The sequence below is a fragment of the Homo sapiens genome, chromosome X (genome assembly GCF_000001405.40).
Source record: "Homo sapiens chromosome X, GRCh38.p14 Primary Assembly".
Lineage (NCBI taxonomy): Eukaryota > Metazoa > Chordata > Mammalia > Primates > Hominidae > Homo > Homo sapiens.
The window spans coordinates 78,883,382-78,904,791 of record NC_000023.11 but is presented as its reverse complement, the minus strand read 5'-3'; the positions used below and the strand labels follow the sequence as shown (position 1 = coordinate 78,904,791).

Sequence of the window (21,410 nt, the reverse complement as noted above, 5' to 3'; positions counted from 1 at the left end):
ATGGCTATTATTTAAAAAACAATAATAAGCCAGAAAAATACAAGTGTTGGCAAGTCAGGAAATTGGAAACTTTGTACATTGCTGGTGGGAAAATGAAATGGTGCAATCACTGTGGAAAATAATATGGACGTTCTCCAAAAAACTAAACATTAAATTACCATATGATTCAGCAATTCTACTTTGGTGTATATAAGCAAAAAATTGAAAGCAGAGGCACAAATAGATATTGCTACACTAATGTTCCTAGCAGCAGTATTCAGAAAAGCTAAAAGGTGGAAGAAACCCATGTACACTGACAGATAAATGAACAAAATGTGGAATATACATGCAAAGGAATATTATGCAGCCTTCAAAAGGAAGGAAAATATGATACATGGTACAAATGGATAAATCTTAAATACATTATAAGTGAAACAAGCCAGAGGCAGAAGGAAACAAAGAGTATTTTATGATTCCACTTATATGAGGTACCTATGATAGTCAAATTCATGAAAACAGAAAATAGAATGAAGGTTACAGGGCCTGGGGGAGAGGGAATTGGGGATTTAGTGTTTATTAAGTTCAGAGTTTCAGTTCAGGATAATGAAAAATTTCTTGAGATGGAGATTGATGATGGTTACACAACAACACGAGTCTACTTAATGACACTTAACTGTACGTATTACATGGTTAAGATGATATATTTTATGTATGCTCTAAAACAATAAAAATTATAAATTATAAAAAATTTTAAAAATTGTATAGAATGCATCTTTATTTATCTTTTGTTTGAATAATTATGCCCATCAGATTACTATGCTACTGTGATTGGACTTGTACTTTTTAAAACTCCTAACTAAAAAACATCCTAACTAAATATTCATAATATAGCATTTTTAATGATTGTTCTACTTTATCAACTATAACAAATTCTATTACTCATTATTTATTTCATTCCACCTTCTTTAATTCTATGTAATTCAAGTATCCATTGGGACATTTTGAACTGTCACTATTTTCCTGAGGTGAGACAAGACTGTTAATGGGAGAAATTCTACCAAGGTCAAGGTGAATTGTGAGAATTTTCAGCTCTTTTTTTCTAGAGAAGGCTTCAAACCCACGTCAATAGATAGCTGTAGCTGAAGTGGTCAAGTTTAGTACCATTTTCTGTCATAATTTACTGTTGTCTTTAAAGCAAAGGTCTGAGCTCTTAAACCTACTCAAAATACTGAGCTCTCACTGCGTTCAGAATCTCAAATTTTAGGCCTTTCTTTGGCCATTCTTTCCACCTAGAATGCCCTGTTCTACCTTCCCTCCCTGTCTTTGCTAGTCTAAATCCTTCACATTTTCATATGCTTTCTTTGGGTTCCTTTTTATTTATGAAGGTTAGACAGATTCCCCAACAGAAAATAATATCTTCTGTCTTAAAATTCTAAGAATCTTTTATCTGGACTTGTTTTATGGCAAAATTACTTTTCTGCCTTCTATCATAGTCATTTGTGTATAAATCTCCACCAAATTGGGAATTACTCAAATGCAAGGATTATGTCAAACATTCATAGCACAAGTGTTTTATACAAGTAATTACTTTCTTAAAAATTTAACTTTTATTTTAATTTCAAGGGTATGTTTGCAGGTTTGTTATATATGTAAACTTGTGTTATGGGGTTTGTTGTACAGATTATTTCATCACCCAGGTATTAAGCCTAGTACCCATTAGCTAATTTTTCTGATCCTCTCCCTCCTCCCATCCTCCACCCTCTGATAGGCCCCAGAGTGTGTTGTTTCCCTCTATGTGTCCATGTGTTCTCATCTTTTAGCTGCCACTTATAAGTGAGAACGTAGTATTTGGCTTTCTGTTCCTGTATTAGTTTGCTAAGGATAACAGCCTGCAGCTCTATCCATGTTCCTCCAAAAGACATGATCTCATTCTTTTTTATGGCTGCATAGTATTCCATGGTGCATATGTACCATATTTTCTTTATCAAGTCTATCATTGGTGAGCATTTACTTGATTCCATGTCTTTGCTATTGTGAATAGTGCTATAATGAACATATGCATGTATATGTCTTTATAATAGAATGATTTATATTCCTTTGGGTAAATACCCTGTAATGGGATTGTTGGGTTGAATGGTAGTTCTGTTTTTAGGCCTTTGAATAATAAATAATTTCTTAATACTTATTCGGCACTAAATTCTACTTAACTGGTTAATTGAATTTCATTGAGTTAAATTGAAACATTTGGAGTGCTCTACCCTATAGAAGTCACTAAGTATTGTTAATAAAAACCAAATACTAATCCTCTTTCCATCCCGGGGCCTTTACCCTTGCTTTGTCTATGACTGCAACATTTTCCCTTAAGACTACGGCTCTGATAAATTATCCAGTCCACTACTCAAAATGTCACCTCTTCAGAGTACTTTTCTGAACAACCAAAATGAAAGCAAATACATACTCTGCACAAACTATCTCCTTATCCTGTTTTACTTTCTTCATGAAACTTACTATTATGTGACTTTATATTACATCATATATTAATGTATTTATTAGTTTATGTATACCCACACAGATTTCATTGCAGCAGGGAACTTGTCTGCAACCCCAGAGGCAAAATGAAATGTATTACTTGGATAGTGTATTAGTCAAATGATTTGCACTGATTATGATCTTTTGTGACCTTAAGCAAATCACAGTAGCCATCTACTATCAGTTTACCTCCACATAAAATGGAGGACCCCAATATCCCTGTTAGTTTCGGCATATAATTGGTATAGGATCTTATAGAACCTCTTTTTTTTAGCAATTCATGCTACAATTTTATTTTTATTTTTATTTTTTGTGGGTACTTAGTAGTTGTATATAGTTATGGTATACAAGACATATTTTGATACAGGCATGTAATGCATAATACTCAAGTCATGAAAAATTGAGTCTCCATCCCCTCAAGCATTTTATACCTGGGTACTCTCAATGTTTCTCTCTGCTATGAAAGGAAAGTTAGCTTTCAAGATATTATCTGATGATACAAGATTTTTAGAAAACAATAGACTTCACAGGGCATGTTATGTCTTCCTTTGACACTAAAGAGATCTAGTCTTGTTCCTGGCCCTCAGTGACTCATCCCCTTTTTCTGTAGTAGGAGCTCTCCTGGCTTAAAGTAAGGCTAATAGAGGGGTCAGGTCAGGATTGAAGAGAAGAAAAACAAGTTCTGTGGCTCTCTTGAGGTTGACCCAGAAGGGTCATTAATGCAGACATTGACTAATATCTATGGGTAAGATCAACAGTGAACCTGCATCTGAGACATGCACAGGCCCAGGAAGTGATACTTTTGATAAGTCTTCATTGGCACTTCTGAGGTCGCTGAGGATGGAGATCTGTGCCATTTACTGGACAGAGCAAGCCCATAAGAGCATGACATTGGAAGTCTATGTAAAAAGACTTCAGATCATCCTCCTCATTTTAGCTCACCATCTAGCAAGTTCAAGAATGGCACCTCTTCCCAAAAGTTGAAGCAATAATTTGGCCTCTCTGGTATTTAGAATTTCCTGAATTAACCCCAAAACAGTTGAGTCCTGAGAACCATTGAGAACCAGTTTTCCCAGGATTAACTGTTCCGAGAGATAAAAACTATTTTAGTAAGAACTTAATTTCCAAAGGCAAATTTCCCTGCTCCCTGTTCATCCCTCACATACACATTTCAAGTCAATGCAGTCTTTTCAAAAGAAAATCAAACCAGGACAATTGCCTCTGATATAATTGGTTTAAGGAGGAGAAGTAGATTTCTAATCTGAGGCTGTATAAATGTATCCCACTTTTTCAAACTGGTTATCATACTTTCTGAAATTCCACCATTGGGTTTTATTGCTTTAGATTAAGGCACTGCTATGTCTATAAATTGTTTAGGTAACAAATTCTTATAAGCCATTGCCCCTTCTTTTCTCGTATCTTTCATCTTTTGTTCCATGGCCTTTTTTTTGGTTTATGTCCTCAGTCTCAGGACCCCTTTGTCTATAACAAACAAATGGGTAACAAAAATCTCTGCCTGACATTCTAAATTCTTGATCAGTTTATCACCTTTTATTCCCAGTCAAATATATAAAACACATAATTTGCATCATTTTTACTCTCTCATCATTCCTTTCCTTCCTAACTTCCTCCAAACTGCTTCTTTTTCCATCTTCCCTACTCTACCCTTACCACACCATTCCAGCCTTCTTTCCAACTTATCTTTCCAAAGGCTCTAATAAATTTTATCTACTCTCACTCTCCCAGTTTTTTTCATTTGTTTGTTTTTGAATTTTGAACACTTTTGACACTGTCTATTGATTCAACCCAAACGTCCAACAATGATAGACTGGATTAAGAAAATGTGGCACATATACACCATGGAATACTGTGCAGCCATAAAACATGATGAGTTCATGTCCTTTGTAGGGACATGGATGAAATTGGAAATCATCATTCTCAGTAAACTATCACAAGAACAAAAAACCAAACACCGCATATTCTCACTCATAGGTGGGAATTGAACAATGAGAACACATGGACACAGAAAGGGGAACATCACACTCTGGGGACTGTTGTGGGGTGGGGGGAGGGGGGAGGGATAGCATTAGGCGATATACCTAATGCTAAATGACGAGTTAATGGGTGCAGCGCACCAGCATGGCACATGTATACATATGTAACTAACCTGCACATTGTGCACATGTACCCTAAAACTTAAAGTATAATAATAATAAAAAATGTATATATTCAATGCCCACTATGTGCCACACATTCTCCTCCTTTCTAAAATATATTTTGTTCATTGTCTTTTTTTTCCTTCCTTCCACACTCCCTCCCTTTTTCCCTCCCTCATTCTCTCCCTCCCATCCTTTTAACTTTCTACCTCTTTTCTTTTCTTTTCTTTTTTCTTTTCTTTTCTTTCTTTCTTTTCTTTTCTTTCTTTCTTTTTTTTCTTTCTTTCTTTTTTTGTCTTTTTTCCCTTTCTTTCTCCTCCTAACACTTCTTTCTTTTCCTTCTCCTTCTCCTTCTTCTGTCATTTATTTTATTTTTTTCACTTCATTTGTCAAGGGACTTGCCTTGTCTGGGATGACAATTTGGACTGTGAACTTTTAAGTTAATGCTGAAATGAGTTAAAAGTTTGGGGGACTGTTGGAAAGGCATGATTAATTTTGAAATGTAAGTACATGAAATATGGGAAGGGCCAGGGGCAGAATGATTAGTCTTTGGATGTGTCCCCACCCAAATCTCATCTTGAATTGTAACTCCCACAATTCTCACATGTCACGGCAGGAACCCAGTGGGGGGTGATTGAATTATGGTTGCAGATCTTTCCTGTGCTGTTTTCATGATAGTGAATTAGTCTCAAGTGTTCTGATGATTTTAAAAAATAGGAGGTTCTCTGCACAAACTCTCTCTCTCTTTGCCTGTCACCATCTACATAATATGTGACTTGCTCCTCCTTGCCTTCCTCCATGATTGAGAGGCCTCCCAACCACATGGAACTGTGAGTCCAATTAAATCTCATTCTTTTGTAAGTTGCCCTGTCTCAGGTATGTTTTTCTCAGTAGCATGAGAACGGACTAATATACTGAGCCTAAGAGGGAGGAAGCTGGGAACCCGGTACAAAATTGTCAAGCACCAGAACTCATTCCTGGCCCCAAGTGGCTCCTGTGGAAGGGGTGAGTTAGATAGGCATGGAGTGCTTCACTCTTGTCACAGACCTCTGGAATCCTAGCTGCAGAACACTCCACAGTCCCCATAGAAATATGAGTTGGCAAGAAGCACTGCTGGACAGTTTTCAGGAACAGGACTCCAACCGTGTGAAGCCCACTGGGTTTGTTGGAGTAACAGCTCCAGGGGAGCAGGGCCAGAAATATCTGTCCCCTAAGAATTGCCATGCCCCTCTAGGTGGCTTTGGCAATTTTTTACTGTTTGACTTGGACTGTACAGGGATATCTTATCCATGGGTGGGGCTCTGTTTGATCTGATTGTCCCCCCCTACATTTGCCAGCCTCTCCCAGTGTCCCTTCCCAGCTTAACTAACTTGAAGTGCAGCTATAGAACCCAACAAGGGTGTTTCCCAGAAGCCACGCCATAGCTCTTTCACTGGTAGATACTGCCTGACTATCAGAGAGCTTTCACAGATGGGCCTTGGAAAGCATGTATTGCTCACAGTCTGCCCCCACTGCTTTGCTGGTATGCACTTGTCTACAGCCTCCCTCCACCACTTTGCTGGAGCACATGCATATGTGAACCTTGCTATCCCACTGCCACCAGTGTATGCATGCACTTGCATGTGCAGTGGAACATGTGCATAGTGCCCCACTACCATCAACACACATGCACATATGCAGACCCTGATGCACTGTTGCTCCACCACCACCACTTTGTGCATATGCACAGACCCTACTGTTTCACTACCTTGCCACCACTGGTGTGCATGCATGCATATGGACCCCCCAGCCCTGCTACCACTGGCATGGATACATAATTATGAATCCCACTGCCACTACTACAATAAAGTGTTTTAGCTGGAACACTTCCATCAAATTGTTGTTGAGTGGACAACAGTGGTCCACAGTGGGCCAGGAACACATTGGTCTCTACAGCACAGCAGGTGATTAATATCAAGGGGCCAGAAAACAAAGCCATGAGCCTGCCTACTAGGGTAAGAGAACACAGCCCAGGAGTGCTAAGCTGAGCCTTGGTTCCCTAAAATAATCCACAAAAGAAGCCAGTTTACTATACCCAACTTTTACCACAGTCAAACCCTCAAGGGCACCAAAGAATATAGAAGCAAAAAGTTCTATCAAAAGGACAGAAATTTCAAACATTAAAGGAACATTGGCCCACACAGATGAGAAACAGCCAGCATGGGAACTCTGGCAACTCTAAAAAGAGTGTCTTCTTACCACCAAACGACTGCACTATATCCCCAGAAATGATTCTTGCTCAGATTTACATGGCTGAAATGACAGACATAGAATTCAGAGTCTGGATGTCAAGGAAGATTATTGTAATGCAGAAGAAAGTTGAAATTCAATCCAAGGAATCTAAGGAATGAAATAAAATGATTCAAGAGATGAAGGACAAAATAAAGTTTAAGAAAGAACCGACTGATGTGATAGAGCTAAAAAAGTCACTACAAGAATTTGATAATATAATAGGAAGTAGGAAAAACAAAATAGACCAAGATGAAGAAATAATTTCAGAGCTTAATGGTAAGCTATTTGAATCAACTCAGTCAGACAAAAATAAAGAATAATGTTAAAAATCAATAAAACCTCTGAGAAATATGGGATTATATAAATAAAGCAAATTCATGATACATTGGGGTCTCTGAAAGAAAGGGAGGGAGAGCAAGAAACATGGAAAATATTATTGAAGATATTATCCATGAAAGTTTCCTCACCTTGCTAGAGAGGTCAGCATTCATATTAAGAAAATTCAGAGAACTCCTGTGAGATACTATAGAAGACAGCCTTCTCCAAGGCACACAGTCCTCAGATTCTCTGAGGTTAACATGAAAGAAAAAAATATTAAAGGCAGCCAGAGAGAAAGGGCAGGTCACCTACAAGAGGAACCCCATCAGGCTAACAGCAGAACTTTCAGAGGAAAATTTACAAGTCAGAAGAGATTGGTGGCCTACATTTAACATCTTTCAAGAAAAGAAATTCCAACCAATAATTACATATCGAGACAAACTAAACTTCATAAGTGAAGGAGAAATAAAATCTTACTCAGATAAGCAGATGCGAAGGGAACTCATTTCCATCAAAACTGCCTTAAAAGATGTCCTGAATGGAGTGCTAAACATGAAAAAAAGACTGTTACTGACCATGAAAAAAATACCCTTAAATACATAGAACATTGACACTCTAAAGCAACTACACATTCAAGTCTAAATAGCAAGCATCTAGCTAGCCACAAAATAACAGGATCAAATCTGCACATATTTGTGTTAACCTTGAATGTAAATGGGCTAAACACACCAATTAAAAGGTACAGTGTGACAAGTTGGTTGGGTAAAGAAGCAAGACCCAACTGTATGCTGACTTCAAGAGACCAATCTTACATGCAATGACAAACATAAGCTCAAAGTAAAGAGATGGACAAAGATCTCACAAGCAAATGGAAAACAAAACAAAACAAAAGACCAGGAGTTGCTATTCTTATTTCAGGCAAAACAGACTTTAATCCAATAACAATTAAAAAATACAAATAAGGGCATAATGTAATAATAAAAGATTCAATTCAATTGAACAAAAAGACAAATCTCATAAGTATGTATGCAATCAACACTGGAGCACCTAGATCCAGAAAGTAAGTCTTGTAGACTTAAAAAGAGACTTAGATAACTACACAAAAATAGTGGGAGACTTCAAAACCCCATTGACAGTATTTGATAAACCATTGAGGCAGAAAACTAACAAAGATGTTTGGGGCCTAAACTTGTTCTTTGACCAAATGAACCTAACAGACATCTATCTACATAACAATCCACCCAACAACTGTAGAATATACATTTGTCTAATTTTCACATGGTGCATACTTTAAAATCAACCACATGCTCATCCATAAAGCATTCTCAACAAATTAAAAATACCATAGTCATACAAACAACACTTTCAGACCACAGTGCAATAAAAATAGAAATCAATACCAAGGTCTCTCAAAACTATACAATTATGTGGAAATTAAACAACCTGCTCTTGAATGACTTTTCAGTAAACAATGAAATTAAAGCAGAAACTGAGAAATTATTTGAAGCTAATAAAAACAAATATCCAATATACAATAATCTGTTGGACACAGCTAGAAATTAAGCATTCCTCTAAGCAGTGTTAAGAGGAAAGTTTATAGCACTAAACACCCACATTAAAAAGTTAGAAAGTTCTCAAATTAACAACCTAAAGCCACACCTACAGGAACTAGAGAAACAAAAGTAAACTAACCTCAAAGCTAGCAGAAAAGAAATAATCAAAATCATAGCTGAATTGAATAAAATGGAGGTGTAAAATCACAAAAAAAAGATCAAGAAAACAAAAAGTTGGCTATTTGAAAGAATAAATAAGATTGATAGTCCACTAGCAAGACTAATAAAGAAACAAGAGAGAGCATAAAAATATACACAATTAGGAATGAAAAATGAAATATTGCTGCCAACACGACAGAAATACAAAAAACCCTCTGAGGATCTTACACCTCTATGCCCCAAATCTAGGAAACCTAAATTAAATTGATGAATTCCTGGAAACATAAAACTTCCCAAGATTGAACCAGGGAGAAACTGAAAAACTGGACAGAACAATGATGAGTTTAAAAACTGAATCAGTAATAAAAACTTACCAACCAGAAGAGCCCTGGACAAGAAGAATTCACAACCAAATTATATCAGATGTATACAGAAGAATTGGAACCAATCTTACTGGAATTATTCCAGAAAATGAAGAAGGGACTTCTCCCTACCTCATTCTATGGGGCCAGAATAATTCTGATACCAAATCCTAGCAGAGACACCGTGAAAAAAGAAAACTTCAGGCCAATATCCCAGATGAATATAAACACACAAATCCTCAAGAGAACACTTGCAAACTGAATCTAGCAGGATATCAAATAGTGAAGCCACCATGATCAAATAGTCTTTATCCCTGAGCTGCAAGGTTGGTTCAAAATATGCAAATGAATAAATGTGATTCATCTCATAATTGGAACTAAAAACAAATACTAAATGACCATCTCAATAGACACAGAAAAAAGCTTTCAATGAAATTGTAATCCTTTCATATTCAAAACATTCAACACACTAGGAATTGAAGGAAGATACCTCAGAATAATAAGACCCATCTTTGAAAAACCCATAGCCAACATTATACTGAATGGGCAAAAGCTGGAAGCATTGCCCTTGAAAATCAGAAGAATACAATGATTCCCATGTCACCACTCCTATTCAACATACTACTGGAAATGCTAGCCAGAACCTTCAGACAAGGGAAAGAAATAAAAGAACATCAAAATATGAGAAGAGGAAGTCAAACCGTTGCTCTCCACTGATGATGTTATTTTATACCTAAAGAACTCCATAGTCTCTGCACAATGGCTCCTAAATTGGATAAACAACTTTAGCAAAGTTTTAGGATACAAAATCAACGTACAAAAATCAATAGCATTTCTATACACAAATAACATCCATGCTGAGAGCAACATCAAGGTCAAAATCCCGTTCACAATAGCTGTAAAAAGAATAAGATACATAGGAATATAGCTAAGCAGGGAGGTGAAAAATCTACAATGAGCATTATAAAAAGTACTCAAATAAATTGGAGATGATATGAACAAATGAAAGAACATTTCATGCTCTTGGATAGGAAGAATCAATATTGTTAAAATGGCCATACCGTCCAAAGCAATTTACAGATTTCCCACCAAACTATATATGACATTTTTTCACAGAATTAGAAAAAAACTATTCTAAAATTTTTATGGAGCAGAAAAGAGCCTGAACAGCCAAAGCAAATCTCAATAAAAAGGAACAAAACTAAAGGCATCACACCACCTGCCTTTAAACTACACCACAAGGCTACAGTTACCAAAACAGCATGGTCCTGATATAAAAACAGACACATATACCAATTTAACAAGTTAGCGAACCCAGAAATAAGGCCACACACACACATACAACCATCTTATCTTTGACAAAGTTGACATTAACATGCAATGGGGAAAGGACTGCCTATTCAATAAATGGTGCTAAGAGAACTGGTTATTTATACACAGAAGATTTAAACTGGACCCCCTCCTTTTATCATATACAAAAGTCATCTCAAGATGAATTAAATGTATAAGCTAAAACTATAAAAATCCTAGAAGAAAAACTAGGAAATACCATTCTTGAGAAAGTCCCTAACAAATGTTTCATGATGAAGACTCCAAAAGCAATTGCAACAACAACAAGCATTGGCAAATGGGAACTAGTTAATCTAAAGAGCTTCTGAACAGCAAAATAAGCCATCAAACAAGCAAACAGAAAACCCACACAATAGGAGAAGATATTTGCAAACTATGTATATGACAATAGTCTAATATCAAAAGTCGTTAAGGAACTTAACATATCAGCAAGCAAAAAACAAACAACCCAATTAAAAGTTGGCAAAGTATACAAACAGATAGTTCTCAAAAGAAGACTTATATGTGGAAAATAAGCATATGAAAAAGTGTTCAACATCACTAATCATTAAAGAAATCCAAATCAAAACCACAATAAAATATCATTTCACACAAGTCAGAATGGCTATTATTAAAAACTCAAAAAATAACAGATGCTGGCAACATGATGGAGAAGGAAGAATGCTTATACACTGCTGGTGAGATTGCAAATTAATTCAGCCACTGTGGCAAGCAATTGGAGATTTTTCAAAGAACTTAAAACCACCATTTGATCTAGCAATCCCATTACTAGGTATATGCTAAGGAATATAAATTGATCTAACACAAGGACACATGCATGTATATGTTCATTACAGCACTCTTTACAATAGCAAAGACATGGAATCAACCTAGATGTCCATGAAAAGTAGAATGGATTTAAAAAATGTAGTATATATATACCATGAAATACTACAGAGCCATAAAAATTAAATCACATCATTTGCTGCAACATGGATAAACCTGGAGGCTATTATCCTAGGCAAGTTAGCGCAGGAACAGAAAATCACACACCGCATGCTCTGACTTATAATTGGGAGTTTAATACTGAGTACACATGGACACAAAGAAGAAAATAATAGACACCAGGAGCTACTTTGGGGTGGGGGGTTAGGGTGACAATTGTAAAATTACCTACCTGGTACTATGTTTACTACCTGGGTAACAAAATAATCTGTACACAAAACCTCCAAGACACATGATTTGCCCATGTAACAAACCTGCACATGTAACCCCTGAACCTAAAGTGATAGTTAGAAGAAAAAAATTATACAATATCCTCTTTTCTACCTATCCTGATATTTCTGCCTGCATACAATGCTAAGAACTGTACAAAGTCCTGCATCCTCTCTGCAAACATCATTGCCCTCAGTATCTCTTCTTTTGCATCTATTGTGTGTGCAACATATTTTCCTATGATTTTCATGTCTGGCTCCATCTCTGACTGAGAATTTTAAGGGAAGTATATATGACAGTACTCATTAACTAATTTCTTTGAGCACCTAGCACGATTCCCAGGGTCCAAAAAATGCTTTATAAATATTTGTTGGGTAAATTGAAGAATTCTTAGTACAGAGCCAGATAAACAGTCTTCTCGGTTAAAAAATTAGACACTTATTTTAAAAACTATCTGATAAAAAGATGCTCCCAAAATATGAAATCATCAAAATCAAGCTCTTTGTATTATATAGATTTGAATGCTTCGCTGTGCCTAGCATGATAAAATGTGATCAGCATTCAGAAATGGCTCCTGTTTTTTTAAGTCTATATATCTATATAGTTTTAATTGATATACAAAAACATCTGTATGTGTTTAATGTATACAATTTGATGAGTTTGGACATATGCATATATCCATTATACTGTCACCATAATCAAGTAATAAACATATCCATAACCTCCAAAAGTTTCCTTGTGTCCCTTTGTGGTTTGTGTATGTTTGTGTGTGTGTGAATATGTGTGTGAAGACCATTAATATGCAATCCACCTTCTTAGCCAACATTCAAATGTACAATACCATATTGTTAACTATAGGCTCTATATTGTACAGCACGTTTCTAGAACATTTTCATCTTGCTTAATTTAAATTTTATACCTGTTGAACAACAATTATCCTTTTCCCCCCTCACTCTAGCCCCTGGCAATTACCATTCTATTCGCTGCTTTTATGAGTATAACTGTTGTAGATATCCTATCCGTGTGAATGAAATTATGTAGTAGTTCTCTTTCTGTGGCTGCCCTGTTTCACTGGCATAATGTCTTCCAGATACAACCATATTGTCACAAATGATAGGGTTTCTGTATTTTTAAGACTGAATAATATTCCTACATATATACATTTTTCTCTTTGTTATATGTATAAATTTATGGGGTTCAAGTGTTATTTTGTTATATGCACAGATTGCAGTGTTGAAGTCAGAGCTTTTAGGGTACGCATCACCCAAATAACATACATTATGCCAATTAAGTAACTTCTCATCATCCACTCTCCTCCTATCCCCTTATCATTCTAAGTCTCCATTGTCTATAATTCCATATTCTACAACCATGTATACACATTATTTAGTTCCCACTTATAAGTGGGAAAGTGTAGTATTTGTTTTTCCATGTCTGACTTGTTTCACTTAAAATAATGGTCTCCAGTTCCATCCACGTTGTTGCAAAAGATGTGATTTCACCCTTTTCATGGCTGAATAGTATTCTACATGTCTATGTATCACATTTTCTTTTTCCAGTCATCTGTTTATAGACACTTAGGTTGATTTCATATCTCTGCTATTGTGAATAGTGCTACAATATACATACATACAAGTGTGGCTATCATTTTGATATAATGATTTATTTTCCTTTGGGTAGATATCCAGTAGTGAGATTGTTGCATTAAATGGTAGTTCCATTTTTAGTTATTTGAAAACTCTCCATACTGTTTGCCATAGAGGCTGTGCTAATTTACATTCCCACCAACAGTGTATAAAAGTTCCCTTTTCTCTACATCCTCACCAATATCTGTTATTTTTTACTTTTCAATAATAGCCATCTGACTGGTGTAAGATAATATCTCATTGCAATTTTCACACATCTGTAGTCCCAGCTACTCAGGATGCTGATATGGAAAGATCTCTTGAACCCAGGATGTCAAGTCCAGCTTATACAGTGAGACCCCATGTTTTTCAAAAGTAATAAATATACATTTGTTTTCTTCATTCATCTGTTCATGAACATTTGGGTTGTTTTCATCTTAGCTATTGTGAATACTCCTGCAATAAACATAGGAGTGAAGATACTTCTTCAAGATGATGATTTCAATTCCATTGGATGTATACCCAAAAGTGGAATTGCTGGATCATAGGGCATTTCCATTCTTAATTTTTTACTATTTTCTATAGTGGCCATACCATTGAATATTTGCACTAATAGCACACAAAACTTCTAATTTCTCTACATCTTCACCAACACTCTTTTGTATTTTTAAATAGCCATACTGACAGGTGTGAAATAATACATCATTGTGGTTTTGATTTGCATTTTCCTGATGATTAGTGATATAAAGAACCTTTCCAAACACCTGTTGTCCATTTGTGTCTTTTTTGGAGAAATGTCTATTAAAGTCATTTGCCCATTTTTTCGTTGGGTTATTTGGGTTTTTATCATTGAGTTGTAGGAGTTTCTTATATGTGTTCCATATTAACCCCTAATTAGACAAAAGTTTTGCAAATATTTTATCCCATTTCATAGGTTGCCTTTTCCTTGTGTTAATGCAGGCATACCTTGGAGATATTGCAGAATTGGTTTCAGACAACCACAGTGTAGTGAGTATTGCAATAAAGTGAATCACAATAATTTTTTTTAATCTTTCAATACATATAAAAGTTAAGTTTCCATGACACTGTAGTCTGCTAGGTTTGCAATAGCATTTTGTCTAAAAAATGATGTATATATCTTAATGTAAAAATTATTTATTGCTAAAAATGGTTAATGATTATCTATGCCTTCAGCAAGTTGTAATATTTTTGCTGTTAAAGGTTCTTGACTTAATGTTGATGGCTACCGACTGACCAGGGTAGTGGTTGCTAAAGGCCGAGGTGGCTGTTGCAATTTCTTAAAATAAGACAACAATGAAGTTTGCGGAATTAATTGACTATTTCTTTCACAAAGATTTCTCTGTAGCATGCAATGCTGTTTGATAGCATTTTACCCACAGTAGAACTTCTTTCAAAATTTGAGTCAATCCTCTCAAACCCTGCTGCTGCTTTATCAACTGAGTTTATGGAATATCCTCAAGCCTTTGTTGTCATTTAAACTATTGTCACAGCATCTTCACCAGGAGTACATTCTATCTCAAAAGAACACTTTCTTTGCTCATTCATAAGAAGCAACTCCTCATCCATTCAAGTTTTATTATGAGATTGCAGTAATTCAGGCCTATCTTCAGGCTCCACTTCTAATTCCAGTTCTCTTGGTATTTCCACCACATCTGCAGTTCCTTTTCCACTGAATTCTTGAACGCTTCAAAGTCATCCATGAGCATTAGAATTAACTTCTTTCAAAGCTCTGTTAATTTTGATAATTTTACCTTCTCCCATGAATCACAAATGTTTTTAATAGCACTTGGAATAGTGATTCTTTTTCTAGAAGGTTTTCTATTGACTTTGCCTGATCCATCCGAGGAATCATTGGATTTTGCAAGGCTATTACATCTATACCTTTACACAATGTAGTTCTTACATGATAAGACGTTAAAGTCATAATTACTCCTTGATGCATGGGCTGCAGAATAGATGTTGTGTTACCAGGCATGAAAACAGTATTAATCTTCTTGTACATCTCCATGAAAGCTCTTGGATCACTTAATGTATCATCAATACGCAGTAACATTGTGAAATAAATAGTTTTTATTTCTGAGAAGTAGTTCTCAAAAGTGGGGTTAAAATATTGAGTAAACTACTCTGTAAACAGACATGCTGTCATCCAAGCTTTGTTTTTCCATTGATAGAGCACAGGCAGAATAGATTTAGCAAAATTCTTAAGGACCCTGTGATTTTCAGAATTGTAAGTAGGCACTGGCTTCAACTTAGTCACCAGCTTCATTAGCTCCTAAAAAGAGTGTCAGCCTAGCCTATGAAGATTAAAAGCCAGGTGGTGACTTCTTCTCTTTAGCTATGAAAGTTCTACATGGCATCTTTTGCCAGTATAAGGCTGTTTCATCTACCTTGAACATTTGTTGTTTATTGTAGCTAACTTCACCCATTATCTTAAATATTGATGAAATATTATAGATAAATATTATCAATGACTTGCTTAAACTTCTACCTCAGCACTTACTGCTTCACCTTGTACTTTTATATTATGGCTCTTTAAACCTCATGAACCTGTGCTAGCTTCAAACTTTTACAGCTTTCTCACCTCTCTCAGTCTTCACAGGATTGAAGAGAATTAGGATCTTCCTCTGAATTAGGCTTTGCCTTAAGGGAATGTTATGGCTGGTTTGACCTATCCAGATCACTAAAACTTTCTTCATATCAGCAATAAGTTGTTTTACTTCCCTGATATTTGTGTGTTCAGTGGAGTAGCAATTTTAACATTCCTTAAGAAGTTTTCCTTTCCACTCACAATTAGGCTGTCTGACACAAGAGGACTTTTAGCCTCAGTTTTCAATATGCTTTCTTTACTAAGCTTAATTATTTATAGCTTTTTATTTAAAAAGAGAGACATACAACATTTCCCTTCACTTGAACATTTAGAGGTTTGTGTAGGATTATTAATTGGCCTAATTTCAGTATTGTTGCATCCCAAGGAGAGGGAGGAGAGCTGTTGAAATGGTCAGTCAGTGGAGCAGTCAGAACACATACAACATTTATCAATTAAGTTCACGTGTGCTATGCGGGTGCAGTTCATGGTGTCCCCAAACAATTAAAGTATTAACTTCAAAGATCACTGATCACAGATTACCATAATAGACAAAAAAAAATGAAAGAGTTTAATTATATAAAAATAATGAAAATGTAACAATTACCAAAAGGTAACACAAAGACATGAAGTGAGCACCTGCTGTTGGAAAAATGGTGCTGATAAACTTGCTGGTCACAGGACTGCCACAAACCTTCAATTTGGAAAAAAAAAAAAAAAAAGCAATATCTACAAGGCACAATTAAGCGAAGTGCAGTAAATTGAGGTATGTGCTTATAATACTGGATATAAATATGAGAAGACCCAAAGTCTTATAAACTTCCTTATTGCACCAAATTTTGCTCATTCAATGAAATTATGTTTCTATTTGTTAAAAAATGCATTTTTGATGCCTTGTTCTCATTTCCTTTGCTTGCTTCACCTTTTCCAACTGGTTCACACTTGCTCCCCCTTGCCAGTATATTTGGACTAACTACCATCCACTGTGGAAGAAGATAATTTGAAGAGACGTTATCGGTCAAATATACATACTCTACCAATATTAGTATCATCTTAAATTTCTCCATTAGACATTCGTTTATTTGGAACTTAAAAAGGCTATTGATTTTTTTTTGAAACTCTGAAAGTATCTGAAATTATTTCTCTCTAAGAGCCAGACACTAAGTGAGACTGCCTCTAAGTAGAAATGGTATCTGGGAAAAATGGGAGAGGTGAGTCATGAAAAGAAAAATATTTCTGAGAGAAAAAGGCAAGCAAATATTCAACAGTCTCAGATATAATTCATCCAGGTGTATCCTCACTCTTCCGTAAACATACTTGCTCATGGTTTTTATTTTCTTAAAATGACTCTTTTTTTTTTTTTTCTGGGTCAGAGTTCACTCTTGTTGCCCAGGCTGGAGTGCAATGGCACGATCTCGGCTCACTACAACCTCCGCCTCCCAGGTTCAAGGGATTCTCCTGCCTCAGCCTCCCAAGTAGCTAGGATTACAGGCATGCACCACCACGCCTGGCCAATTTTGTATTTTTAGTAGAAACAGGGTTTCTTCAGGTTGGTCAGGCTGGTCTTGAACTCCCGACCTCAGGTGATCCACCCGCCTTGGCCTCCCAAAGTGCTGGGATTACAGGTGTGAGCCACCGCGCCTGCCCTCCCCCCACCTTTTTTTCAGTATTTTAATACAAAAGTGTATTTCTTACTCATGCAACAGTCCAACAGAATGTTTTTTATTAAGTGACATTTCTAAGCAGTTCATCTTTTAGTAATGATTCAGGTCCCAGGCTCCATTCATCCACGACTCTTCCATCACTTTGGTCTTCTAAGTCCACTGATATTATTTGTTGCTTCTGACATCAGATGGGTGAAGACGAGGCAATAGAGGGTAACACCGATTCTTTTGCATTTCTTTCTTATAGCGTCTCTTCTATATACTTTATACACACTAGGTGGCAGTGCAATGAAAGAAGGAAAAGTAGAATCCAGAATCGGACAAAGATTGTACACAGATCACATCTTACAGCATCTTCATTTTTAAAATGAAAAAAACAAAAAACAAAAAAACTGGGGCCTCATTAGGGAGGTGACCTGTCCAAAGTCACAAGCTAGTTAGTGCCAGCACCCAGTCAGTTCCTTATCCATGTTCTTCAACCATTTTATTCTCTTTAGTCTCTCAGCCCCTCTGTTTTCCCTCACCCACACTCAGCTCTTCACTTTCTTCTCCAGCTAACCCAATTCCTTTTCTTGTGAGGTAGTCAACTCAAGGTACCTTGTGAGGTAATCAACTATTCTTATCATTATTTTCTAGATTAGAAAGGGATGCACAGAGAGGACAAGTACCCTGGTTGAGATCACACAGCTAATAAATAGCAAAGTTGTGTTGCAACACTAGACTCTAGGGTTCAGATTCTGTGCCAATAACCACTATTCTATACTACCAAAGTTATCTAATATCTACTGTTCCTTCTTAAAGTCCTGCACTTCCTTAATTTCCATCAGACATTTTGTCAAAGTTTGTTCCTAACTCTCTGCCTGTTTTCTCTCTGTATCCTTTAGTTTTTTTCTGTGTCAGTCTCTCAAATGGCAACATTCTCTAGCATTCCATTCTCTGTGTTCTCTTAATTTCTAAAATCAACAAGTCCTAAATTAAAATATAAGTTCCACCATTAACCAATTTTATTACCCTGGACAAATCATTTCATCTCATCAGGGTGAAGTGAGAAATAAATTACATAGCGTCTGGCATATATAATAGTAGATACTAAAAGAATACTAGTTTTTATTGTTACTATCATCATCATCATCATCAACATCATCATCGTCATCACCATCATCACCATCACTATTCCTAATTTATATTCATGGGCTCCACTAACTCCTCTATGCTGATCATTTTTATATAAAGGATCCAATCATAATCCTAAAAGATACAATCACAAATGCCATAATCTTGAATGCTGAAATCCCAAAACATCAAAATCCTGAAATTATGATCCTGGAGAAAGCAATTTTTAAAGTTATTTAAAAGCCATTTATTTACCTTTTGTTGTATAATTTAAGTTCTGGGATACATGTGCAGAACGTGCAGGTTTGTTACATAGGTATACACATGCCATGGTGGTTTGCTGTACCCATCAACCCGTCATCTACATTAGGTATTTCTCCTAATGCTATCTGTCCCATAGCCCCCCACCCCCTGACAGGCCCCGGTGTGTCATATTCCCCTCCCCCTGTCCATGTGTTCTCATTGTTCAACTCCCACTTATGAGAGAGAACATGCAGTGTTTGGTTTTCTGTTCCTGCGTTAGTTTCCTGAGAATGATGGTTTCCAGCCTCATCCATGTCCCTGCAAAGGAGATGAACTCATCCTTTTTCATGGCTGCATAGTTTTCCATGGTGTATATGTGTATATGTGCCACATTTTCTTTATCTGGTCTATCATTGATGGGCATTTGGGTTGGTTCCAACTCTTTGCTATTGTGAACAATGCTGCAATAAACATACGTGTGCATGTGTCTTTATAGTAGAATGATTTATAATCCTTCGGGTATATACCCAGTAATGGGATGGCTGGGTCAAATGGTATTTCTGGTTCTAGATGCTTGAGGAATCACCACAGTGTCTCCCACAATGGTTGAACTAATTTATACTCCCACCAACAGTGTACGAGCGTTCCTATTTCTCCACACCCTCTCCAGCATCTGTCATTTCCTGACTTTTTAAAGATTGCCATTCTAACTGGCGTGAGATGGTATCTCATTGTGGTTTTGATTTGTATTTCTCCAATGACCAGTGATGATGACCTTTTTTTCATATGTTTCCTGGCTGCATAAATGTCTTCTTTTGAGAAGTGTCTGTTCATATCCTTTGCCCACTTTTTGATGGGGCTGTTTGTTTTTTTCTTGTAAATTGGTTTAAGTTCTTTGTAGATTCTGGATGTTAGCCCTTTGTCAGGTGGATAGATTGGAAAATTTCTCTCCCATTCTGTAGGTTGCCTGTTCCCTCTTATTGTATTTTATTTTGCTGTGCAGAAGCTCTTTAGTTTAATTAGATCCCATTTGTCAATTTTGGCTTTTGTTGCCATAGCTTTTGGTGTTTTGGTCATGAAGTCTTTGCCCATGCCTATGTCCTGAATGGTATTGCCTAGGTTTTCTTCTAGGATTTTTATGGTTTTAGATCTTAAGTTTAAGTCTTTAATCCATCTTGAGTTAATTTTTGTATAAGGTATAAGAAAGGGGTCCAGTTTCAGTTTTCTGCATATGGCTAGCCAGTTTTCCCAACATGATTTATTAAATAGGGAATCCTTTCCCTATTGCTTGTTTTTGTCCGGTTTGTCAAAGATCAGATGGTATAGATGTGTGGCATTATTTCTGAGGCCTCTGTTCTGTTCCATTGGTCTATATCTCTGTTTTGGTACCACTACCATGTTGTTTTGGTTACTGTAGCCTTGTAGTATAGTTTGAAGTCAGGTAGTGTGATGCCTCCAGCTTTGTTCTTTTTGCTTAGAATTGTCTTGGCTATATGGGCTCTTTTTTGGTTCCATATGATATTTGAAGTAGTTTTTTCTAACTCTGTGAAGAAAGTCAATGGTAGCTTGATGGGAATACCATTCAATGTATACATTACTTGGGGCAGTATGGCCATTTTCACAATACTGATCCTTCCTATACATGAGCATGGAATGTTTTTCCATTTGTTTGTGTCTCTCTTATTTCCTTGAGCGGTGGTTTGTAGTTCTCCTTGAAGAGGTCATTAACATCACTTGTAAGTTTTATTCCTAGGTATTTATTCTCTTTGTAGCAATTGTGAATGGGAGTTCACTCATGATTTGGCTTTCTGTCTACTATTGGTGTAGAAGAATGCTTGTGATTTTTGCACATTGATTTTGCATCCTGAGACTTTGCTAAAGTTGCTTAGCAGCTAAAGGAATTTTTGGGCTGAGATGACGGGGTTTTCTAAAGATACAATCATGTCATCTGCAAACAGGGACACTCTGACTTCCTCTCTTCCTATTTGAATACCCTTTATTTCTTTCTCTTGTCTGACTGCTGTGGCCAGAACTTCCAATATTATGTTGAATGGGAGTGGTGAGAGAGGGCATTCTTGTCGTGTGCCAGTTTTCAAAGGGAATGCTTCCAGCTTTTGCCCATTCAGTATGATATTGGCTGTGGCTTTGTCATAAATAGCTCTTACTATTTTGAGATAAGTTCCATTAATTCCTATTTTATTGAGATTTTTTAGCATAAAGGGGTGTTGAATTTTCATATACAGCCAAACTAAGCTTCATAAGTGAAGGAGAAATAAAATCCTTTATGGA

The 21,410-nt window shown here is 36.3% G+C and overlaps 1 non-coding gene across 1 annotated transcript; it reads left to right on the top strand.

The window, feature by feature from the left end:
- The first annotated feature begins 3,542 nt into the window (after positions 1-3,542).
- On the top strand, positions 3,543-3,598 carry MIR4328 (microRNA 4328). Its single transcript, NR_036258.1, has one exon. It is a non-coding gene; the product is annotated as a microRNA 4328 (primary transcript).
- Positions 3,599-21,410: the final 17,812 nt, after the last annotated feature.